General features: G+C 39.0%; 1 protein-coding gene across 17 annotated transcripts in view, besides 1 other annotated feature; it reads left to right on the top strand.

Annotated features, from left to right (window-relative positions):
* The window catches only part of PAG1 (phosphoprotein membrane anchor with glycosphingolipid microdomains 1), a 144259-nt gene that overhangs the window by 45108 nt on the left and 73249 nt on the right, over positions 1 to 25902 (top strand). For 7 of the 17 annotated variants that reach the window (XR_007060746.1, XM_047421991.1, XM_047421990.1 and 4 more), the window contains 4 exons: positions 1571 to 2363; positions 18097 to 18200; positions 20750 to 20801; positions 22972 to 23083. The exons of 2 other annotated variants lie outside the window; for them this stretch is intronic. The gene's annotated coding sequence lies outside the window, so the exon portion shown is untranslated. Of the gene's footprint in view, positions 1 to 1522; positions 2364 to 18096; positions 18201 to 20749; positions 20802 to 22971; positions 23084 to 25902 lie in introns of all 17 variants that reach the window. 8 more of the 17 variants (XM_047421992.1, XM_047421986.1, XM_047421981.1 and 5 more) reach the window with 6 other exon arrangements.
* Positions 1530 to 1649: an enhancer, noted in NCBI's record as "active region_27572". NCBI's record gives its function as "activates an Ori minimal core promoter by ATAC-STARR-seq in GM12878 lymphoblastoid cells {active_cell/tissue: GM12878}" and the evidence as "EXISTENCE:reporter gene assay evidence [ECO:0000049][PMID:35858748]".

Genomic DNA, 25902 nt, shown 5'->3' with positions numbered 1-25902 from the left:
TCAAACTCCTGGGCTCAAGCGAGCCTCCCACTTTGGCTTCCCAAAATGCTGGGATTGCAGGCATGAACCACCATGCCCAGCCTCATACTTTTAAACTGCTTATGATGAAAAATTTTATACACACACGAGAGAATCACTGAGTCCTTACATATTCACAGTCTAGATTCACAGAGTATCAAGATTTTGCCACCATGGCTTCACCTATCCCTTTTTTCTTTCTCCCTTTCTCTTTCCTCTTTTGAAATATCAACTAAGCTACTTTTAAGAGGAAAAGATGACTCTTGATATTCTGAGGACTATGGAAAGCAAGTATTTGCCTGCCAATTTCACATATTCTCACTTATCCTTTATTAGGAAGCAAAAAGTATGGTTTTACACTTCATATTGTATTGTACTTTGGGAATAAGCTGCCTTAAAGCTCAAGTCTATTGCATGCTAGATGGGTATTGATTTTTCCTCTTAAATCAATGTTTCCCTAGGGCATAGTTTTATTTATTCATAAAGCTAAGATGATGTCTGACAGGAGTTACAGCAGTGTAAATCTGTGGTGCAGGCACAATAAGAAGAGCTTTTGTAACACTCAAAAATCCATGTTCTGATGCTAGAGGGTATCCTCATAAGCCTGAAAAAGTGCATTTGCGATGCTTGCAAGTGTAAAAGGAACATTTCAGCATATCGTTAAGTTTTACTCCTCTGTTTTCTATGCTACTTTGCAAATGGACCTAAATACATTGTGACTGAAGCCAAGCCATGATTGTGTCTGATGCACAACGGGTTATTGGAACAGCAGGCTGGATAGAATCAAAGCTTCAGCCACAATCTCTTGTTGACACCAAATGTCAGCTTGCTCCGGAAGGATGTAGTGGCCCTGTTGATCTGTCCCCTGTAATTTTGCTCCCTGGCCCAAAGGATGGGCACTTCTGCCCAAGGGGCAGTTAACATGAGAATGTTCACTTTGGGATACTTCATTCACTTTGGAATAACCCTATGTACTTGTTGGTGTGTTATAGTACATGTAACAGCTCTCTGTGTAGCTAGGCCATGTAAGTCAAGTGTAATCCTAAAAGTGTACTCATTTTGTTGATATATATATATGACATATGATATATATATGATATATATAAACATATATATACACACATACACACACATGCATATATATACATATATATATAAAATACATAGTCTATTCTGTTTTAAAAGTGTTTATGATATTAAAATTATTGTTAGACTTTTTTAACTTAAAGAAAATATGCCCTGACTTTTCCCTCAACATTAACTGATTTTTTTCCCTATGGTTGAAAAATGCTTCTAATGGGTAGAATGGCACCATTTGGAATTTTAAATATCCAGTTTTTTATTAGCAGTCTGATCTTAGCACAGTAGAACTGGCTGGAGAGTCAGGTGACGTAAAAGCTAGTTTCATTATCCACTCTTGGCTGCTTTGTGACCTATGGCGAGTTTCTGAACTTCTTTGGGACATTTTGTTTATATTGTTGTTTTTTTCCCCTAATTTAAACAGCAGTGAGTTTGTGAGAAATTGGCAGATTTCACTTCTTGATTTCCATAGACTTCCATACATCAGGACTCTTCCGTTTGAAAGTAACTAGTTGATATTTAAAAAAAGAAGAAGAAGAAAAGGAAGTGAAAAGAGAAAAAAAAGAATGCAGAAGTGAGGATTATTTCTTCATGAAGAATAAGGTTTGTTCCAGTTTTAAAAGCCTGTGACTTCTCTGTGAAAACATTGCAGATGATTAGCTCAGCTACCAGGAGCCACACAGTTTTCTTAGAAATTGTGCCATTGAGGACACCAAGGGGGCCAGGGAGGACACAGCTCCAGTTAGAGGCTGGGGCCTTGAGCGCCTCCCCCCAAGAGCAGCTGGTGCTCTGCCAGGTCTGTGGCTCCCAGGATGCCCAGATCCCTTGCCAGAGGTTTGGGAGAAGCCTTAAAGGTGCTGTCTCTTCGGATCTCTGCTGTTTCCTCTCCACTGATAGCTACATTGGGAGCCTCTTCAGAGGAGGCTTCTAGGAATTAGAAGGGAAAGCATATAAATGCCATTCACTACAGTACCTGTTCACTGCTGGTCACAGTTGTTCTCCTTTGCCTCATCAGCCTCAGGCATGGAGATAACCTGGTGGCATGTCAGTGTCTTCGAGTTTTTCCCATTAAGCTCCAAGAGCATTGATTGCTATTCACTTCATGAATGGATGTCTTGAGAAGATCGTAAGAACTACTTTTGAAGGACCGAGGCTGCCGTCTCTGCTTCAGTAGAAACCCGAGGTGCCTGACATGAAAAGCACACTAGAGGACCTATTTGAAGAAGAGAGAGTTAGCTGTTTGGAATCTAACCGTTTATGTTAAGGTCTGTGTGTTAGGTTTTCTAGTTAGCTTTAGTCAAGTCCTTCAAGGTCTTTTTTTACATTCTTCCAATATAATCTGCTTTATATTCTTTAATAGTATGTTTTTGCTCTTTTAGCATTAATTAATTATGCACTCCTATAGGAAGCTGATTAGGAAGTCATCCTCCTTGACCCTGTGTTTGGTTCCTTTAGAGCAGGGGTTTTCAGCCTTTGCAGGAACCAGGCCACACAGCAGGAGGTGAGTGGTGGGCCAGCCTCCTGTCAGATCAATGGTGGCATTAGATTCTCACAGAAGCATGGACTCTATAGTGAACTGCACATGTGAGGGATCTAGGTTGTGCACTCATGATGATCTTAGTGGAACAGTTTCATCCCGAAAACATCCCCACTCCCCCTGCCTGTGGAAAAATTGTCTTCCATGAAACCGGTCCCTGGTGCCAGAATGGTTGGGGACCACTGCTTTAGAGGTCCTCTTGGCTCCCCAAGTCAACCCCGGTGTGGAAGCTAAAGTAATTCTATCTTGTAAGCTAATCTACCATGTTGACTTCTTATTAACAGTTCCAGGAATGCTCTGAGATCTCCAGTTTGTCTTTTGCTCCTTGTGTAAGAGCATATACCTACCATAAATCCTGCCCTTAGAGCAGATCAACCTTGACATACTGGTACTTACTATAAATCCTGCCCTTAGATCAAATTCCTCCTCATTTCCTCTGGAGCATGTGTACCCCTTCCCTGGGTATATAATCCTTGGGTCTGGGGGTCTAATGACGAGGAGATCTGCTTGTCATGTGGCTACCCAAGACCATGCCCCTGTCCGTAAGTTCCCCAATAAAATCACCCTGTAATGACAAGAGGGACTTGTCTGCCTCCTTCTTTGGTTTTTTGACTCCTTCTGTGTTTGGGGGTTGCTTTGCCTATATGACCTTTTCGTGAAACACCTGGTCATTAATGGAGTGATACTTTCACAGCCAGACACCTGTCACATCCAAATTACTAACATAAGGTGATTTTGAATGCTGGATTTCTAGGATCAACCACAGGTTCTAGTACTTAAAAAAAAACTTTAAAAAATGTTTTTTAGAGACTCCCACTCCGTCTTATGAAAGCTCCATCCTCACCAGTGGAGAAAGAATTTCCCTGTTGGGTCTTTGTGTCTTGCAGGTGGCCAGAGGTGCTCACTGAGGCCTCTCCTGTTCAGTCGCAGAGAGCTCCAGACCAGTCTCTTGAGCAAGGTTTAATGAAGCTGTGGCTGCCTTCCATATTCCTTTTTCATGTCATGAAAAAAGATACTTCTTTTGTGGGCCTGCCACTTTAGGAATAAAAACCCTCCCTCAACTGCTTAGTACCAATATTGCCCTAAGAAGGAAGTACCTGGCTCTCATGGCCTTATCTGAGCCTCGAATAGAGGAGACCCACGCAGGCTGGAATGGCCCTGCCCAGGCCCACTGGGAGAGATGACTCAGTTCCAAATAGGGCTTTCATTTTAGATATTTAAATTCCAAGTTTCTCATAGTTATTCATGACTAAGAAAAGGGGCAGCTCTGCACTATTCCTTCACTCACATATTTCCTTCCTTTCTCTTTTTTCATCATCTTCCCTTTCTCCCTTTATTTAGTGGATTTTTAAAATAAATAAAATGCTGTGTGGCATAGCACTTTGCCAAACAGGAAACTCTCATAATTTTGTAATATTTTCTAGAATAGATTTTAGACCAGCCATAGTGAAATTTAATTATGGTGCTAATGTGCTTCTGAAGATTCCTGATAAAAGACTTGTGCCCTTAATCCCATCGACTCAAGAGGCCGAGGTGGGAGGATCACCTGAGTCCTGGAGTTTGTGGCTGCAGTGAACTATGTACTCCAGCCTGGGCAAAGAAACCCCATCTCTTAAAACAAAACAAACAAAAAAAAAGATTTCTGTTGAGAGGATAAAGTTAACCCTGTCTATGGTGGCTTTAACTATGACAAATCAGCCAGCAGTAAATTAAATAAATAATTTTTTTTCTAGTGTTTCTTATAAGGGAAGAACCAAAAGATTGAGATTTATGTGAAAAATGAAAAATATCTGATAATGGGATAGCTGGAAAACTTAGAAAATTAGAAATGGGTTTGCGATTTCATTCATGTGATCCTTTGCCATTACCCATCTGATGCCCCATAGCCCAAAGGCATGCTGCCAATATGAATGTTTACATGTATTTTTTATAGCTGAATATATATAGTTTATAAAATGGATATATACCATTAAGATGTTGTTAGACAAGTATTAGGCCAAACAGGTTATGTTTGCAGAAAACAAGTGTGAATGCAAGGAGTTTAGTGTGTTCTTAAACTTCTGCTAACAAAAGAACTTCCATTTACTTTTACAGAGTTAAGTTTGCCTCCTGAGTATATGAGAATGTGGCATAGGCCACAGATAGCACCTCAGAATTGATGTCGACTGGTGACTATTGCGATGAGTGTGGGTGCTTTTATAGATAACTGAGGTGTTGTTAGCTGAAGTGTCAAGAGTGGCTGGATTGTAATTGTTGACTCATTTTAAATTGCTTTGTTTTATAATCTCTTAATATAATAAATATGTAGTATTTTAAAATATGCCTCAAAGACACCAAAAATGATGAAAACCACTGAATTACGAGACTAAACTGCTCCCTCCCATCCCTCCCATTTGCTGTCTATCATCCTTTTCCCATGAAAGATGGCTTTTATAGGTTGAAAGCATAGAGGATGGCTCCTTCTTGTCATTCAGATCTCCGCTTACGGGCTACCTTCTCAGAGAGGACTTCCCCAAGCATCCATGGCTCAGGAAACCCCATAAGACACTCTCACCTTTCCTTTTTTACGTTTTAAATGTTCCCTATCTGGTACTTTGGTGCTAGTCTTTTGTCAGTCTTCACCTACAAGGTGCTAAGACCCCATCTGTTTTGTTCACCCTGTGTCCTGAGTGCCTGGAGCTGTACCTGGCATTGAGTAGGCATTCTTTAGATGTTCCATATGCAGGCTTTTTCCTTTGGACCTACCCCTGTGCCTGACCTTGAGAGCATTTCATCATCATTGCCTAGAATCAGGCCCTTGTTTTGGAATCTGTGGTACTGTATTCTCTGAATTTCTGTCATTAACCAGCCTTTACTCCCTGGTTGCAGCATCTGATTAGTATGATGATAACACAACTACTGTATGTCAACATGATGAGCATTTGTGGCAAGTGAGTCCTATCAAATTTTCCAGCCACAAGAGAGCTTAAGAAAGGTTTTGAGAGAGAAATGTGTAGACATTTAAGTCTTTCCTATGCTGGTGTTAACCCTCAAGATCAATTGGCCAGAATGTTCTGCTCTGATGGTAGACCTGAGTAATAGCATGTTGTAGCTTCCTTTTTTAGTACTGTTATTTAATTTACCCCCGTGAGTAATGCTATAAGAAGGAAGGCTTTAAGAATACTTCACTTCTCATCCCCCGACTTCCAGCCCAGTAGCCTGAGTCTAATCTTGTTATGTCTGGGAATAGAGTTACTAGATTTTCTGCTAATGGCTGTATTTTACATGATAATAAATCCAGTCTTTTCTACAAAGTCTACTTAATTTATGCAAAACAGATATAATTTGGAATGTGTATGAATGAAGCTATTCTTTCAAGGGAGCAGAGAGGCTGCTGTAGAGCCTGTTAAATACAATTTTATGGGCCCTCATGTCAGGTTAACACAAGCAAATGTTGGTTCTGTGGTCATCAAAGGTAATGCTTATTGGATAGTTTCAGGTAAAACAAAAAACAGCTTTTGAATCTCAGAGCCTTTGCTACTTACTCCCTAATTTAAGCTCAACTTGTTTTCAACCATCTTTCACACTTTGAAGTAGTGACCTCTTATACATTAGTGGCCTCAAAGTATTAGTGAGACTCCTGCTCATTGATTTTCAATAATATAGAGAAGGTATTCCAAACTAGTTCTGGCCATTAACAGAGCAAAGGCAGTAAATTAAATTAGCAGGGGGATATATCAAAAGCCTTTTGTACATGCCATAAAGTCTCCAAAATCTAATCCCTGAGAGAAATTTATTTTGTTCTGGAAAGAATAGCTTTCTTCTATTCTAAAATACCTTTCATTTATAAAAGAATGGATTATTGCCTGTGAATGGAATAGCAGGAATTCTCAGTCCTTTAATTTTGCCATCAACTTGCTGTGGTTTATCTCAAAAAAATAATCAACCTGTAAGAAAAACATCCGTGGCTGCTCTGCTCTTTGACTTTTAGGTAGAGTTAATTGTATAGATTAATTTAAAAGTTAGGTGTACTAATTAATAGTTACACATTTCAGAAGTCCTTAGCTCAGGGTATTTATTGATTTTTGTCTCTTTTGAGTTTTATAAAAAAGCTAGATGCCTGAAAACACTGAATTGTTTTACAATGCTAAGTTAAGAATGAGTAACCCTGCCTTCTTACTAATGGACAAAATTTTGATTTTTTGATCTAATGCCAGTGGTCCAGTGCAGAAACACAAATATTTACTTGCTTAATTTGGATGGATAATCAGATTTTTTAATTATTTTCAGAGGCAGGGGGTTAAAAAAATACTTAGGCTTTTTTTTTTTAGATGGAGTCTCACTCTTTTTGCCCAGGCTGGAGTGCAGTATTGCAATCTCGGCGCACTGCAACCTCCGCCTCCTGGGTTCAAGCAATCTTCCTACCTCAGCCCCCCACAAGTAGCTGGGATTACAGGTGTGCACTCCCACACCCAGCTAATTTTTGCATTTTTAGTAGAGATGGGGTTTCACCATGTTGGCCAGGCTGGTCTCGAACTACTGACCTTAAGTAATTGGCCTCCCAAAGTGCTGGGATTACAGGCATGAGCCACAACACCCAGCCCCAAAATACGTAGGCTTTTAAAGCAAGATAAGTGTGCTTTAGGGAGACCTTTTTGCAGAGGCTGATTTAGCTATGGGGAGATAATAGACTCCTTCGAGAAGCTAATGAATATTCTAGACTGTCTGAAGAAAGACACATGCACAGAAAATTTGACATAATTGCAGGTAGTTTACAGACCCTCTGAAAGTTGGCCAAGATCCTGTTGGCACCTATCTATAGGACTCCAGGCAAACAAACCCTGACTTACTTCTTCCAAGCAGGAGGTATGTTTAATTTTGTGCTGTAAATACTGGTCTTTCAATTTCTGGTAGTAACATAACACCCCAGGCATATTTGAATTTTATAAAATGCTGTAATATTTTTATCTAAACAGAAACAACATTTACAGTTGGCCCTCTGTATCTCTGGGTTCCACATCCATGGATTCAACCAACCTCTAATTCAAAGCATTCAAAGAAAAAAAAAAAAAGAATGTTTGCCTCTGTACTGAATGTGTACAAACTTTATTTCTTGTTATTCTCTAAACAATGCAGTATATCAACTACTTACATAGCATTTACAATGTATTAAGTATTATAAGTAATCTGGACATGTTTTAAAGTACATGGGAGGATGTGTATAGTTTATATGCAAATACTATGCCTATATATATACTTAAGTATATATACTTAAGTGTCTGGGGATTTTGGTATCTGAGGGGGGTTCTGGAACCAGTCCCCCAGATACCAAGGAACAACTGTATTTAATCCTTTTGCAATGAAGTATATATTTAAGATGCTGACAATTATTATTAAAGAAATAGTTATATAGAACACTTATTGAGTTAAGAAGATCCATTTTATTTTTTGAGACAGGATCTTGCTCTGTTGCCCAGGTTGGAATGCAATGGTATAATCATACCTCAGTGCAGCCTCCAACTCCTAGGCTCAAAGAACCCTCCTGCCTTAGCCTCCCCAAGTAGCTGGGACTACAGGTGCATGCCACGATGCCTGGCTACTTTTTTATCTTTCGTAAAGACAGGGTCTTTCTATATTGCTCAGGCTGGTCACAAACTCCTGGCCTCAAGTGATCCTTTCACTTTGGCCTCCCAAAGCATTGTGATTACAGGCATGAGCCACCAGGCCTGGCCTGAATTTCTAACACCAGCTTTAAAAGATCTTGCTCTGGTGCCCAGGTTGGAGTGTAATGGTGTAATCATACCTCAGCGCAGCCTCCAACTCCTGGGCTCAAGCGATCCTCCTGCCTTAGCCTCCTACAGGCACACACCACCAGCTTTAAAAGGACCCCCAAATCAATTCTATTGTTAATTTTCAGTCTGTCTTTCCCCTAAGTGGGGATGTTAAGAAAGAAAATAGTATCAGTTTTTATTACCACTTGCCTGGCATTTTTTAATTTGTTTTTCCCAAGTATTCCTAGTAAATTTTGCTTTATTCTCCTTTATGTACACACATTGAAACCTGCAGAAGGATGGTTTCTTTTCTTTGTGCTGCTGTTGTTCAAAACTGCTATAAGAATCTACAGGTCCCTTTTTGGGTCCATGGTAGATTATGGTTTAACACTCATTTAATCTTAGCAGGAACTAAGATTAGGATTGGGGAAAAATGAACAAAGAAATCTCTCACCAAACAATTCCTATATATGCACCAATGTCCAGCTCAAATCTCCCTTCCTCTGCAAAAAGTTCCCTAATCCCTTCCATGTCACATCTCTTGGCAAGTTTTTGATACCTCCCTTAAGGCAGTATTTACTGTTATCAGTAAATACTCCCTTCTGCTAGACAAGGAGTTTAACTAATGGAACTGGAGTTATTTTTGCTTTTGTTATTGATATGTAAAACAATGGCTACCAAAGGATTTATATATATGGTGGAAAGAAGTACAAGAAAAGTCATTAACTTGAAAAAGGGATTTACGTTATAAGTAAAAGACTGGACTTTGATATTCTAGTACATTTTACCAGTGATACTATTTTTCCAAACATTTCTCAAAAATTTAATAATCACATGAAACATACTCAGTTATTTTTTTTATTATACTTTAAGTCCTAGGGTACATGTGCACAACGTGCAGGTTTGTTACATATGTATACATGTGCCATGTTGGTGTGCTGCACCGATTAACTCGTCATTTGCATTAGGTATATCTCCTAATGCTATCCCTCCCCCCTCCCCCGACCCCACGACAGGCCCCTGTGTGTGATGTTCCCCTTCCTGTGTCCATGTGTTCTCATTGTTCAATTCCCACCTATGAGAACATGTGGTGTTTGGTTTTTTGTCCTTGTGGTAGTTTGCTGTGAATGATGGTTTTCAGCTTCATCCATGTCCCTATGAAGGACATGAACTCATCCTTTTTTATGGCTGCATAGTATTCCGTGGTGTATATGTGCCACATTTTCTTAATCCAGTCTATCATTGATGGATATTTGGGTTGGTTCCAAGTCTTTGCTAGTGCGAATAGTGCCACAATGAACATACGTGTGCATGTGTCTTTATAACAGCATGATTTATAGTCCTTTGAGTATATGCCCAGTAGTGGGATGGCTGGGTCAAATGGTATTTCTAGTTCTAGACCCTTGAGGAATCGCCACACTGTCTTCCACAATGGTTGAACTAGTTTACAGTCCCACCAACAGTGTAAAAGTGTTCCTATTTCTTCACATCCTCTCCAGCACCTGTTGTTTCCTGACTTTTTAATGATTGCCATTCTAACTGTTGTGAGATGGTATCTCATTGTGGTTTTGATTTGCATTTCTCCGATGGCCAGTGATGATGAGCACTTTTTCATGTGTCTGTTGGCTGCATAAATGTCTTCTTTTGAGAAGTGTCTGTTCATATCCTTTGCCCACTTTTTGATGGGGTTGTTTGTTTTTTTCTTGTAAATTTCTTTGAGTTCTTTGTAGATTCTGGATGTTAGCCCTTTGTCAGAGGAGTAGGTTGCAAATTTTTTTCCCATTCTGTAGGTTGCCTGTTCACTGTGATGGTAGTTTCTTTTGCTCTGCAGAAGCTCTTTAGTTTAATTAGATCCCATTTGTCAATTTTGGCTTTTGTTGCCATTGCTTTTGGTGTTTTAGACATGAAGTCCTTGCCCGTGCCTATGTCCTGAATGATATTGCCTAGGTTTTCTTCCAGGGTTTTTATGGTTTTAGGTCTAACATTTAAGTCTTAAATCCATCTTGAATTAATTTTTATATAAGGTGTAAGAAAGGGATCCAGTTTCAGCTTTCTACATATGGCTAGCCAGTTTTCCCAGCACCATTTATTAAATAGGGAATCCTTTCCCCATTTCTTGTTTTTGTCAGGTTTGTCAAAGATCAGATGGTTGTAGATGTGTGGTATTATTTCTGAGGGCTCCGTTCTGTTCCATTGGTCTATATCTCTGTTTTGGTACCAGTACCATGCTGTTTTGGTTACTGTAGCCTCGTAGTATAGTTTGAAGTCAGGTAGCGTGATGCCTCCAGCTTTGTTCTTTTGGCTTAGGATTGTCTTGGCAATGTGGGCTCTTTTTTGGTTCCATGTGAACTTTAAAGTAGTTTTTTCCAATTCTATGAAGAAAGCCCTTTGACAAAATTCAACAGCCCTTCATGCTAAAAACTCTCAACAAATTAGGTATTGATGGGACATATTTCAAAATAATAAGAGCTATTTATGACAAACCCACAGCCAATATCATACTGAATGGGCAAAAACTAGAAGCATTCCCTTTGAAAACTGGCACAAGACAGGGATGCCCTCTCTCACCACTCCTATTCAACATAGTGTTGGAAGTTCTGGCCAGGGCAATCAGGCAGAAGAAAGAAATAAAGGGTATTCAGTTAGGAAAAGAGGAAGTCAAATTGTCCCTGTTTGCAGATGACATGATTGTATATCTAGAAAACCCCACCATCTCAGCCCAAAATCTCCTTTAGCTGATAAGCAATTTCAGCAAAGTCTCAGGATACAAAATCAATGTGCAAAAATCACAAGCATTCTTATACACCAATAACAGACAAACAGAGAGCCAAATCATGAGTGAACTCCCATTCACAATTGCTTCAAAGAGAATAAAATACCTAGGAATCCAACTTACAAGGGATGTGAAGGACCTCTTCAAGGAGAACTACAAACCACTGCTCAACGAAATAAAAGAGGACACAAACAAATGGAAGAACATTCCATGCTCATGGATAGGAAGAATCAATATCGTGAGAATGGCCATACTGCCCAAGGTAACTTATAGATTCAATGCCATCCCCATCAAGCTACCAGTGACTTTCTTCCCAGAAACATACTCAGTTATTAAATGTATTTAACTATCAGTTATTGCTAAGATGGAATTAAAGTCAGTTCTTAATTTTTCAAAAAAAAATGAACCCCAGGATGAATTCATTCATTTCATTCATTTACCAAACTGAATTCTCCAAATGTTTATTTTATACCCTGAAATCAGTTCCTCTTCCTGAATTTCCTATCCCAGTTAATGGCACTGCCATATGGGCAACATAGTGAGACCATGTCTCTGTAAAAAAAAATTAAAAATTAGCCAGGCATGGTGGTACATTCCTGTAGTCCCAGCTATTTGGGAGGCTGAGGCGGGAGGATCGCTTGAGCCCAAGAGTTGTAGGCTGCAGTGAACTATCATTGCACTGCCTCACTCCAGAGCAAGACCCTGTGTCAACAAAAAAAAAAAAAAAGAAAAAAAAAGAAATTAATTCAGTGATGAGTTAGTGTCTTGGACAGGACTGACCTTGGCTTAGTCATTGTATCCTGAATCTATTGATGTGCCTCAAGGTTATAATAATTATAATGGCCACATTGGGTTCTTTCTACCCACCAAGGGCAGTGATAAAAGTTTCCCCCTTCTCCCATCCAGTCTTCATCATGAGCTTTTGAAATGTAGGTATGATTGAGAGTGAGGAGTATAGGGCCGACTCCTTGGGCTGGAATCAGACCTCTTTCACCACTTACCAGCTGTGTCACTTAGACATGTTTTCCGGCCCCCTGTACCTTAGTATACTCATCTATAAAACAGATAATAGTATCTCATTCTGAGGATTGATAGGAATATTAATATACTCTTTTTTTTTTCTTTTTTGAGACGGAGTCTCGCTCTGTTGCCCAGGCTGGAGTGCAGTGGCGCACCTTGGCTCACTGCAAGCTCCATCTCCCAGGTTCACACCACTCTCTTGCCTCAGCCTCCCGAGTAGCTGGGACTACAGGCGCCTGCCACCACGCCTGGCTAATTTTTAAAATATTTTTAGTAGAGAGGGGGTTTCACCGTATTAGCCAGGATGGTCTCTATCTCCTGACCTCGTGATCCGCCCGCCTTGGACTCCCAAAGTGCTGGGATTACAGGAAAATATTGATATACTCTTGAACCCTGTGCCTCGTGTTAGCTGTTAGAGTCATTATCCTCATTTTGCAGTCAAGGCATCTGAGCCTCAGAGGTTAAATAACCTGCCCCATTTCTCACACAGTCAGTATAAATCAGAGCCAACGTTTTGGAACCATCTGTCTGACTGCAAGGCCTTGTATATGGGATATATCCTTATTGAACAGAATGGGAATTCACAATTACATGTTTTCAAATTTCTTAGCATAGAAATTTGCCTTACGTACATATGTTCTTCCTGGGTGATCTTGTCCATTCCAAGGGCTTCATTTGCCATCTAATTTAGGGTTGGCAAACTATGACCTGCAAGCTGAATACATTCTGGCACCTATTTTTGTAAATAAAGTTTTATTGGAACACAGGCACACTCGTCCTTTAGCTACTGTTGATGGCTGCTTTCGTGCAATAGTGTCAGAGGTGAGTAGATGTGAGAGATCCTATGGCCTGCAAAGCCTAAAATGTTTACTCTCTGGCCCTTTACAGAAAGCATTCGCATACCCTGATCTTGCTCACTACTTTCAACCTTTCTCATAAGATCTTGATTCCTAAATTTAGCCACCCACCAAATTTCTTCATGCCCCATATCTACCTTAAAATTAACATTTTCCAACCTGATTTCTTCAAATGTCCATTTCCCACCCTGAAATCAGTTCCTCTTCCTGACTTTCCTATCCCAGTTAATGACACCACCATATGCCCAAGGTGTATCTCCCCTTTTTATTGCTCATGCCTGATGTCTTCAAAAGGGCTGTTCATTGATTATCCTAAATACATACACTTTTTGAAGACAGTAACCTAGGCTTTTAAGTAACCAATGCTGATCATTCTAGTATTCTCAGTCCCCATGTGCGATTAGACCAGAAATTCCTTTGACAGTCTGTCAGAAGTTGCTTTAAGGTATATTCAGTGAGAAATAACTATGGTCTGTCTCTGTCAAGTAAGCCATGGAAATATGAATCCATTTCTCGACTTTAGATACTGTTTCACAAGTAAGAATTAAAGAATGCTAGAAAGTCAGAATATTGTAAAATGTGTAGCCATTACTCAAATATATGGAAAAGAACACAGGTTTATGACTTATTGAGTTGTCACTTCAAAGTTATTCGTCATTAATGTTTTAAAATTAAATCTCTATTCTTTATTCAGGGCCTCATTGGCTGGCAGGGTAAGAAGTTAAAATTCTAACATCAGATTATCATTTTTTCTTGTTCATCCAAATAATATATTCAGATAATACATTCATGTTCATTCTTATCAATATCACTTGAATATTATTCCAAAGCTTATGATATTATTAACTCTGCATTCTCTTTTATGAATTTACAATTACAATTATGCTATAATAACTGATGAAGAGCACAGAAGAGCATTGTAAAAATAAATAAACTTTGAAATACGAAAGGATTAGTGGGGATAATAAATATCCGCTCATTGTCTTATCATCTTTGATCTTGGCATTTGTTCTATCCAGCAAATATTTTCATAGTACTTTAATTTCAGTTTCTTTATCTGAAAAATTATGCAGGAGCAGCCTTTGTTTTCCAAGAACAACAGAGATGTTTATAGCATTTAAGTCAAAAGCAGAGATAATAAATTAATTCTAATCCTCTGAGCAAAGACATTAGCTTTTGTGTAGCACAGGGATTTGGGTTTGTTCACACAAAATAATCCCAAGAATAATAGTTCCCGGTGCTCACAATTGATCTTAAAGATTAATATATTTCTGTGGTTAATGATTATGTAATATATTAATAAGCTTCTCCAAATACTTCCTGAAATTTTAATTATCTGTAGACTTTTAAAGCTATATTTTGATCAGACATGTAAAGAAGCAGTGTAGCTCAATCACTGTCAAATTAAGGATGATTTTACATTCTGCTTTAGAGAAAAATGCCACCCACCATCAGTCTGCAAAATAGCTGAAATACTTAGAAGAAAAAAAGTAAGTAGTTAAGGATGTCTCAATGCCGTTTTTGTCAACTAGCCTCATGCAGTGGTGGGGGCTACTGAACTTACAATTTCACTCTGCCTTCTGCTGGGAGTGCAGGTGCCCTTGGCTGGCCTCCCACCTAAGCTAGAGGTGGCACTTAAAGTCTCGACACAGAGTATCACATAAAAATCACTTTCAAGTCTTTAAATAGGTTTTAGCTATGAAAATGAAAATTTGGAAACTACTTTCTTCAACAATGAGGACGTGACTAAGGATATAAAAATATTTAATAGTTTATAGTCTTTTTTTTTTTTTTTTGAGATGGAGTCTCGCTCTGTCGCCCGGGCTGGAGTGCAGTGGCATGATATCGGCTCACCGCAAGCTCCGCCTCCCGGGTTCACGCCATTCTCCTGCCTCAGCCTCCCGAGTAGCTGGGACTACAGGCGCCCACCACCACGCCCGGCTAATTTTTTGTATTTTTAGTAGAGACGGGGTTTCACCGTGTTAGCCAGGACGGTCTCGATCTCCTGACCTCGTGATCCGCCCACCTCAGCCTCCCAAAGTGCTGGGATTACAGGTGTGAGCCACCGCGCCCGGCCAATAGTTTATAGTCTTTAAAATGATTTATGCAGGCTGTTTTGAAACATAGAAATGCATTTTTTACGTAACTGAAAATGGCACATGACACTGTATTTGCTGATGGCAACTTGCTAAATATTTACATAAAATCAAAGATCAAAGGAAACATCAGAGTACAATAGAGTTTAATGTTCATTGTTTTCTCTGTTTTCTATAAAGTTGTTTAACTTTACAAAAATTGTTATGACCTGTTTGTCTTAAGAATGTAAAAACCCTCCTTTTCTCATCATTCTAATGAGAAAGGATGTTCAGTCGTCCTAATGACTGAATTTTTGGAATGAAGTCTTTTTATAAATTAGGTCTCTTCTGATGTTTTTCTTTTTCTGGGTTGCCAAAATCTTATATATGTGCAATAAGCCAAAAAAGGTGGGAAGATGAACAGAAGATTTAGATTTCTAATTAATCGAACACAAATAGAGAAATACCTAAGTAGATGTGCCATTCTATAGAAATTTATGTGACAGTTTGGGGCTGATGGTTTCAAAAATCTTAAGTCGTTTTTAAAGGGCACCTGCCTGTGATTCATATAAATTAGGACTTCTCTGTTCTCATTTTTCTATTTCCTCTTATCACATCTAACAGGGACACTAATCCAGTAGTGCTCATTTTACATAAGAGCAGAGCCTTCAGGCTTAACTTGGGCATGTGATAGAGCTGGCATCACGTCATCCAGCCCAGCACTCAGTATCAGAGACAGCTTACAGATGGATGGAGAAAAACCCACTGCATAAGAAATAATTCTGCATTCATTAAGAGGCATATATATGTATAAGCTTTATCTCAAGAAAAGTAAAATGTAAGACAAACGTAAAGTCACCATCCTGTAGAGAAAGAGAGTGATAGAAGAATATGGGCAACTCAAATTCACTTTGGCCACCTTCTCTACTTGTTCAATTCTGTAAGACTGATGATTCTGGGAGGCTGAAGGCAGTGAGTTTGTGTTTCCTTTGGAATGAGCACATGTTCTACTGGCTTCTGCCAGCTCATGCAGCAGGAATGTGAGGATGCGATTGCGGAGTTGACTCACCAGCTGATGGACTCAAGCACCTACTTCTCTCCTTTCATTGCCTCAGTGGGTTTCTCTACATTATCTCACTGGGTTTACTTGTCTTTCTGTTTTCCTATCTGGAAGGAATCCAAATGCCTTAAATCCAAATGTATTTACCGCACATGAATTAACTTATAGACAAATACAGATAGAAAGGACTGTGAGTACCATTTTTTTTTTATTTCAGGACTAAGCTTTGGTCTCTCCCATGTCTTATGGCATTTTATGACAGCTACACTTATGAAGGGGTAACTTTATACTAAAATTGTGGCTTGAGAACTGCAACATGGTGCTGGAACCTCAGATCTCTGTGATTTTAGATGCGTAAAACTCAAAACTGAATTTCAAAGAGGGTCTTCTCCAGCCACCTTCTTACCACTCTTCCTGTGAATGTTTAAATCTAAGTTTGCTTTATTAGATAAATTCTGACATTTGGGTATATGAATGAGGTAGACTAATTTATGTGATTAAATTCTCATTCATTTAATAAGAGGATTAAATGCTTCATTGCAAAATGCTGAAGGATATTTTTAATTTACAGTCTCAATTTTAATTGCAACACTATCATTCTGTTTTGAGCATCGAGGAATAGCAATGAAACGTGTTTAAGTTATAAAGTAATGATTATGTTGAATTAATTTTAAGGCAGTTTTCCCTAGTTTTGTTTTTATAGGAAAAATATTTACAAGTTAATTTTTGTTTTTATCCATATATAAAATGAAAATAGTACATTAAACATGCCATCCTGTGTCAAATGGGGCAGACTCGGGGAGAGACCAGGAGAGCAGGGAGGGACCTTCTCCATCCCCAGTCCCAGCGTGGGGTTTGTTGTATGGTAGGTACTCAGTAAATATTTACTGAATCTCCAAATGTATGATTAACTACTGGGAGTCAGCAGTCTAGACTGGAGTACCAGCCCTGTTAGTCCTCAGTAATATCACTGAACCTCTCAGTCTCAGTTTCCCCATTTGTAAAGCAGGCATGGCAATGTTTCCTGTCGTTTTAATGGAAGACTGTGAGAATTAAAGGGAAAACGTGGCACATTTTAGAAAACTGGAAAATGGTGATATAAGGAATCCTTTCTAGCATTATTATTTTGCTATGTGCTGCTTATTAGTGCCCAGTGTTTGTTAGTATTAGCATCCAGTTAGCATTCAACGAATGCATATTTAAAATAAGCTAATGCACTCACAGTAAAATTGAGGACACATTAGCAATTTATCATACATTATTTGACTTAGCATTTTTTAAACCCTATATTTATTTAGGTATAATTGTAATTCCTTTATGTGCTTAGTTTACTTTTGCATTTTCATAGGTGGACATTGAAAAACATATATAGACAACTAAATCATTATTTTTCTGCAGCATTGTACATTAATAGCTTTTTGTGTACATGTGAATAGGAGTTGGCAAAAGAATGTAGCACATAATATAAAGGTTTAAGATGTAAGTAAATGAGAAGCTGGCTTATTGCTGTCACTTCTTTGGAAATTAGATTAGGGCATATATCACATTAAATTCACTTTTAGATATGTTGTGAAGCTAATGACAGGGCTTTGTTGAAGTGAGGGTTTGTGGGTTTTGATGAAGAAAATCTATCGGTATATGCCTTATCTTTTATTCTCTCTTCTTGCTCAATGTGTAATTAGGTTTGCTCTGCAGGATCACAGTATAGAGCATATATTAATTTTATATTCACCCTGCCTGTAATGATTGTATGCTAGCACTTCTAAGTGACACCAAAAATGCATTAATAAAGTCATAATCGTTAGCCAGAATCACAAGTATTGTAGTCCTAAATTTTGCTTTATTTTCTCTGTATGTCCTTAATTGATGATGTATTAATGATTGAACCCATTTGAGTTTATTTGTACTGTATATTATATATTGCAGTGAAACACTGGGCCGCAAAGACTTATGAAATATAAGACAAAACTTTGTCCAGGCAGGGAGATGGGACACAATCTCACAACAGCTTTTAAGATCATCTAATAAATGTATGTACATTTATATATACGAATGATGCTAGCGTCGTTGATGTAAATCATAATAATGACAACCACCCTGAATTTCCCAAGTTCTGAGAAAAACTGAAAGATAAGATAAAATCATTGTCAGATAAGGCTCAAACATCACCCTTATTATCTGTAAAGGCCAGGCTGCAGGGCATGGTTTATTTGTTCTCCTAATATGGAACCCAGGAATTAAGCACAGGTCACAGCGGCTGGGGCAGGCCTCTCTGGGCCCAGAGAATCAACTCAAATTATTTGCTGGAGGATCAGAGGAGAATTCATATTCATGGATGGTAGCCCTACTCCCTGCAGAGAGAAGGCAAGAGCTGAGTCCAGGAGATGCTTCCCCAAATTGCCCATTAGACATGTATGTCACTCAACCTCCCCTTGGGTAGAGTAAATGAAGAGATGGAAAGAGAGGTATTATATGCTAGAAATGTGTAGGGAAAAAAGCATTCTCCCCCAATATAAGACAGGTAATATAATATTTGATGTCAAGTGAACTGGGCAGAATCTAAGAGCAGAAGGAAAAGAACAAGCCTTGCTAAAAAGGACAGTCAGGACTTAGAGCTAAGTGGTCAGGGGAGAAGGGGGAAGAACATTCCAGTCATGAATGGTATCAGCAAAGGCACAAGCAGGGATGAGGAGTTTGTGTTGGAAAGAAGTCAAGGCTGGTGAATCAGGTTACAGAGGGCTGGAAAGTTCTAACCACAGGAACTAGGGAGTTCCTTACCCAAGGAGCTTTCGGAAATGGTGCATTTGAGTACTTCCTTGTGAACATGTGTAGGAGAGGTTTACTTTTTTCTTTATCCTAGAACACTGAACTCTAACAATGGTTTTCATATATTTGCATGATTCTCTCTATAGTTTATCTTGGCTAATTACATTTAACTATGGGCTCTCCAATTATATGTTGAACTCAATGACTAATCATCAGATTTCGATAGCAAAGAGCCTATAATTTCCTGAGTGTATGACCTATGTAAGGATATGTTGCAGAGAGAAGCTGTTTCCTTTACCATAGTAAAAATTTGTTTGTGGTTACATTAGAAGCTACCTCTAAAAGACATTTAGCTCTGAGATAGTTTTTAAAATTGAAGTTTGTAGTGTGTGTCCATCTGAGTGGACCCTATGGAATCCTGCTTACCAGGTCATGCCCAGATGCATGAGACAAGAGCCTTTTGATTTTAAAGGCTTCTGTTTCTGTTTAAGTGATTATTGTATACATTCCTCCAAAATAAAGACTTTTCTCAAAAGAAGACATACATGCAGTCAACAAACATATGAAAAAAAGCTCAAAATCACTGATCATTAGAGAAATGCAAATCAAAACCACAATGAGATACCATCTCACATCAGTCAGAATGGCTGTTATTAAAAAGTCAAAAAACAGATGCTGGCGAAGTTATAGAGAAAAAGGAATGCTTTTCCACTGTTGGTGGGATGGTAAATTAGTTCAACCATTGTAGAAGACAATGTGTTGATCCCTCAAAGACCTAGAGGCAGAAATACATTTAACCCAGCAACCCCATTACTGGGTATATACCCAAAGAAAAGTAAATTGTTCTATTATAAAAATACATGCACACATATGTTCATTGCGGTACTATTCGCAATAGCAAAGACATGGAATCAACCTAAATGCCCATCAGTGATAGACTGGGTACAGAAAATATGGTACATATGCACCATAGAATACTGTGCAGCCATAAAAATGAATGAAAACATGTCTTTTGCAGGGACAGGGATGGAGCAGGAAACCATTACCCTCAGGAAACTAATACAGGAAGAAAAAACCAAATACCAAGTGTTCTCATTTATAAGTGTGAGCTGAATAATAAGAACACATGGATACATGGGGGGAACAGCCTATACTGGGACCTGCCGGAGGGTTGGGGGGTAGGAGGAGGGAGAGCATCACGAAGAATAACTAATGGATGCTGGGCTTAATACCTAGGTGATGGTATGATCTGTGCAGCAAGCCACCATGGCACACGTTTACCTGTGTAATAAACCTGCACATCCTGCACATGTATCCCTGAACTTAAAATAAAAATTGGAAATTTAAAAAAAAGACCTTAGAAACGGGGCTTCCAAGAGTGGTCACAATCAATTACAGGATTACTACATAGATTTTCTTATTCCGTGCATTAAATTATGTTTGCCCAAAAACAATGTTACTAAAAAGAAAAACATTTTAATATGAAACTTTGCTATAGGTCTGTCCTGTACCCATAAAGCAATTGTTAACTCTTTGCTGAATGCTTTGGGTATCAAATGGTGATAAGAGAAGGGGGAAAGGGCACATCAGCTGCCTTTCCTATCATTGAGGAGTTTGAAATTTCACTGGGGAGATGTGACAAGTATTCACATCATAGGTGGTAAAAACTAAACAGTTTATGGATAAACACCAGGATGCCTGCTTTTAGTCATCCAATGCTTCATTTATTCAGAAGGCTTGCTAAACAGTTTGCAAAGCATTAGAGATGCATTCTTTTGCCTGATACACTGTCAAATATTACTGCCTTGCACAGAGGTCATTGGATTCACTCTGGAACTGATATCCTCTCCAAGACCAAAAGCTTGGTAAGTTTTTAGGATTCTCTTCTTGGCTGTCATTTTATCATCTGTAAAATGAGGGCTTTGGAACCAAATGAATGTCTTAGTTCCTTCCCGGCTCTAATATTTACCGACTTAAGAGTATCCCTGATGACACAGAGAAAAAGAGGAGAGAATCAGGATAATGTAAGACAAAAGGAAAGTTGTGAGGTCGAGTTATGCTGTTACACGCCCAATGCTGAAGCAATAGGATGGTTCAGAGTAAATGGGCCTGACATGAGAGATCCTTATCTGTCAAGTTTTCTTTCAGATACTATAAACATTACAGGCTGCAGTATTTTTCTTTTTTATTAATGCAGAAGGTCTATTTTATTTTGTCTGTGTGGATGTTTGCTTATGAAAGAATTGGCTTGTTTTAACAGAAATCCTTTTAGTTTGGGATGGGTTGAATGAACCACTCTTTTTTAAAGAAACAACTTATTGAGATATAGTATCTTTCACATACTGTACAATTCACCTATTTAAAGTATACAGTTCAGTGGCTTTCAGTATATCCAGCTGTGTAACCATCACCACAATCAATTTTAGAACATTCTCATAACTCCAGAAGGAAACCCCTCACCCCTAGGCTGTCACCCCACCTCCAATTTCCCCATCTCACCCTCCTTCCAGCTCTAGGCAACTACTGATCTACTTTCTGTCTCTAGTGAGCTGCTCTTTAATGAAGGAGACAGTCAGTGGACATCAGAGACTAAGCACCATAGTGCAGCTTTATCCAGACACATCTATTTAATGGTTGGAGCTGTTAGAGTTTGCAGTAGCTGATGGCAAAATCTAGTTTCTAAGTGATATTGACCAGAAGAATGAATGTCATCAAAAATAACAACCTGAAAATAGCCACAAATTCAGTGCTTAGGAGAGTACTCTTCAGCCATTATCAGTGGAGTGCTTCAGTCACTTGCAGTCAGCCTGACATACTCTACCTCATTACATGAGACATGTTTAACAAAATAAAAAATCATGATACATTTCTTATAGTTGTTATATTTTTATGGCACTGGTGTATGGTTCACCCAGCGAAATCCCACTTTGGACATTCTGTGTGTGGTGACTTTGCTAGGAGATGTTGAATGGCTCTGCTTTCAAGGAGCAGCATAGGAGTGGATGATAGGTATGCATAAACAAGCAAGTGCAAAATAGCAGCAAAATACTCCAGGTGCAGCATAGGGGGCACTTACAAGGACAGCCAGTTATGCCCGGGGAGACTGGTGGGGAGGGGGGTGCCAGAAACAGCTCATGGAGAAGGTGGAGCTGCAGATAAGCAATGGAACACTAGTCATGCTTAGGGAATGTGAGAAGCAAATTTAGGTAGAGGGACCAGTGTGTTCAAATGCACTGACATAGGAAACATCCTAGAGCCTTTGGATGTGAGCAGATAAGACAGTAGGGTGGTTACAGGAGAGGTTGTGAGGAGGATTCTGAGGCTGTGCATCAGTGTGTGAAAGGGGCTATGTGAGATCTCTAAGGAGTTGGACTTGACCCACTGTTTTAATTTCTTGTGGCTGCTGTAACAAAGCAAGCAAATTGGGTGGCTTAGAACAGTAGAAATGTATTCTCTCCCAGTTCTGGATGCCAAAAGTCCAAAATCAAGATGTCAACAGGACCATGTTCCCTCTGAAGCCTGCAGGGGATGGATGTTTCCTTGCTTCTTCCTGCATCTGGTAGCCTCAGGCATTCCTTGGCTTGTGGCAGCAAAATTCCAGCCTTTGCCTATGGCTTCAGATGGCATTTCCCCTGTGTCTCTTCACATCTGCTTCCCTCTAGGCACATCTGTTTCTGTATCCAAATTTCCACCTTTTATGTAAGGACATCAATCCTAATGGGTTAGGGCTTACCCTAATGACCTCATTTTAACTTGATTACCTCTGTAAAGACCCTATTTCCAAATGAAGTCACGTTCTGAGGTACTGGGAGTTAGGACTTTAACATTTTTAGGGGACAAAATTCAACCCATTACTGCCCCCAGGCATTCAGATGTTACTGCAGGGAAGTCAAGTGTTAATATTTGCATTTTAGAAAGTCACTTGGAGAGTTGTGTGGAGGATGAATGCAAAAGGGGCAAGAGTAGTTGGGAACCTCTTGGCCTTGACCGTTCAAGAAGCCTTGTGGGCTGTTTACTTTATCCTTCACACTCCAGATTCTTCAAGTTTAAAAAGAAGAAGAAAAAGAAATCTGCACATCCACAGCAAAACTAGAAAGTCAGGGAGAACTACCATCAGTGGAGAAGGATATTTAAGAATTCCCAGAAGGTACTAAAAGAAATGAATTGATTGGTAGTGAAATCCAGAAGAACAAAGGATTATATTCCCTTTTACCATTACATACTGTATATTAATAAAACTTTGGTTTTAGGTCAGTAAGGAGCAGGAGAATAAAATGAAAATGTGCATGCCCTTTCACTCAGCAACTCCATGTCTAGGAATCCTATCTATACTCACTCATGTGCTGAGATATATATGCAGGACTAATCATTGTAATGTCATTTGTAATTGAGGAAAACCAAAAATAATCTAAATATCCGTTGGCACAGAATGCCCAATTATAGTATAACCACACCATTCATTGAATGTTCTATAGTTACTCAAAGGAATGAGATAACCCTATATGTACTGACATGGAACATTCTCTAACACACAGTAAATGAACACAATGAAACTGTTGAACAGTGACTAGTATAGGGTACTATATATGTAACAAAGAAAGAAAGACTCTTTCGATTTTTGTATCTTTCCAGACCTTTTTAAAGTATTGTACTGAACTCTAACAGTGCTTACCTGTGGGATTAGGGAATATAGTGAAAAGGAATATTCTTTTTTAAAACATAATACTCTATATCCTGTGTGTTCTGTGAACTTTTTCAGTAAGCATGCAGTATACCAAAACTGGACATTTACTAAAACATTTAAGGAGACAGAATCCATGAGACTTGAGACTTCACCAGTGGGCGAATGTGGTGAACAGTGGGGTGGTAAAGAGGGGAAAGTAGAGGAGGGGTGGAAGGGATGGGATAGGGATAGCATGAATTCAAAACACTCAGAAGCAAAAGGGCAACATTTTAAAGGGAACTATTAAAAAATAAAAAAGACAGAAAGTATGTATTTTATTGTAAAAGGGGTCTAGGAGTGTTAGTTTGAGAAATAGGAGGATTTATGCATCTTCAACTATGATTGGTGGAGCCCATCAGCATAAGAATGGAGAAACAGTGCCGTGAGATGAGAGCCAGTTGCAGAAATTAATGTCATTCCCAGAATCTCTTCTGCTAAAGAGTGTATACAGCCACCAAAACAGCCACCAATGACTTATCCCTAGTGATCCACAAATTACATACAAAGTAACACCTCAGGGATAGGTACTTATCTCTGAAATGGGAGGGAAAAGTCTTTACCCCTTCTCTTCATTAACACCTTTACTTGTTCCTGTCTGTGTTTTCCCATCTCCGCTTGACTCTCCTGTTCCTCCTTCCCTTCCTCACCCCCCTTTCTCTTTTACACACACATACACCTACCCACCCCGTGATACAAATCTACTAGCCTGAACAAAAAGTTAAAGAAAGGGAACTCATAGAAGAAAATGACGTCCAAATCAGATAAGCACCTCCAAATGATAAAGAGGAAAAAGATTTTCTGCCAAAATTATCATGTGAAAATTGTCATGGCCTACTTATTTTATCAGAAAAAAAGTGTGTTAAAGGTAATGTTAACATAGCAGAAAGCTTGAAAAACAAGTGACAACCATATTTCCAAATCAGCTTTTATATGCCTAGTGTTTTGCAGTTAGTGATCAAATGCTTTCACAGCATTATCTCGTTTGAGCCTCACACTGACCCTTTGAGGTAATGCTTCCATGTCTTTATGGAAGGGGACACTGAGTCCCAGAAATGGGCAAGAGCCTTGACTGGTGAGGCATAGACTCTGTTTTCTATGACACTCTGATGCCTGCATGGCCTCAGCAGAGTATAGTTGGTACCCCATGGATTTGTCTCTCGAGCTAAACCTTTCAGACTTCATCTTCCCAAATCTTGTTCTGTCACCTGCCTTAATCTTGAAGAATCACAGAAGTTAGCAAAGTATACTAATCTATGTCATTTATTTATAAAGCAGAGTGGTCATTTGAACAACAAGAAGTTTGGTAGATAAAGGGGATAAGATTGCACCCTTTGGGGGACCACCAACAATAGCTTACAAAGTAAAAATGCAGAATTTAATTTCAGAGATAGTGTTACTTCCTCATTCATGGTACTACTTGTGGATATTATGGTGAGCCGTGAGCAATGGAGAAAGAGCCAAAGAAATGAGATTTTGATCCCAGCCAGACTCTGAGGTATTTCCTGGTACCTGGCCTACAAATATTGGCAATAGTTGTTCATAAGAAGAATTAGCTATTAATTATTTCACTAATTCGTAGCATGCAATCCTGAGGTTCTCCATCTGAAGGGGAGAAAATGGAGAAATTATTACTAAATGTACTACCTAAAAGAGGTAGAAGTATAACCAAGAAGTCATTCAGTGATATGTTTACTTTTTAAAAGTTTCCAGACATAACACTGCACAACTGCAGCTTTCCTCCGCAAAGTCATCAAAGAGCTAAAATGTACAAATGGGAATAGGGATATAAAGTGGAACTGAAGATAAATGGAGAGCCACAGCAGCCCCCGCAATACTTCCCTGGTGTTGGTTCCTCCTGGGACCATAATCTGGGCTGACATCTTCTCTCCTTCCAGCATCTCTTTCAAATAACATGAAGATCTGGTAAATGGCCAGTCAAGCCTCTGGCTGCTCATTCTGGTAGGTCTGAGGTTAGTTTGGCTATAATATATCTTTCTTATTTTGTCCCTCTATTGTGGTTTTGTATAGATTTTCTTGCCTGTACTACTTCTTAACTAAAGGATAGTTACCATGGCAACACCTGTTGATGACAGACAAAAAAAAAAATGTGATTCCACAGGGTGGAGGCTGCTCCTATATTTCTTGCTCCTCGCTCTCACAGTTAAGATTCAAGGGGTGTTTTTGTTTCTCCTTCTTTCTTCTTCTGTGGGTGACACTAGTTTTCTCCATTTTGGCAGATCGAT

Source organism: Homo sapiens, chromosome 8 (genome assembly GCF_000001405.40).
Source record: "Homo sapiens chromosome 8, GRCh38.p14 Primary Assembly".
NCBI classification, from domain to species: Eukaryota; Metazoa; Chordata; class Mammalia; order Primates; family Hominidae; genus Homo; species Homo sapiens.
The sequence above is the reverse complement of the archived record's forward strand: the minus strand, read 5'-3'. Positions and strand labels throughout refer to the sequence as shown.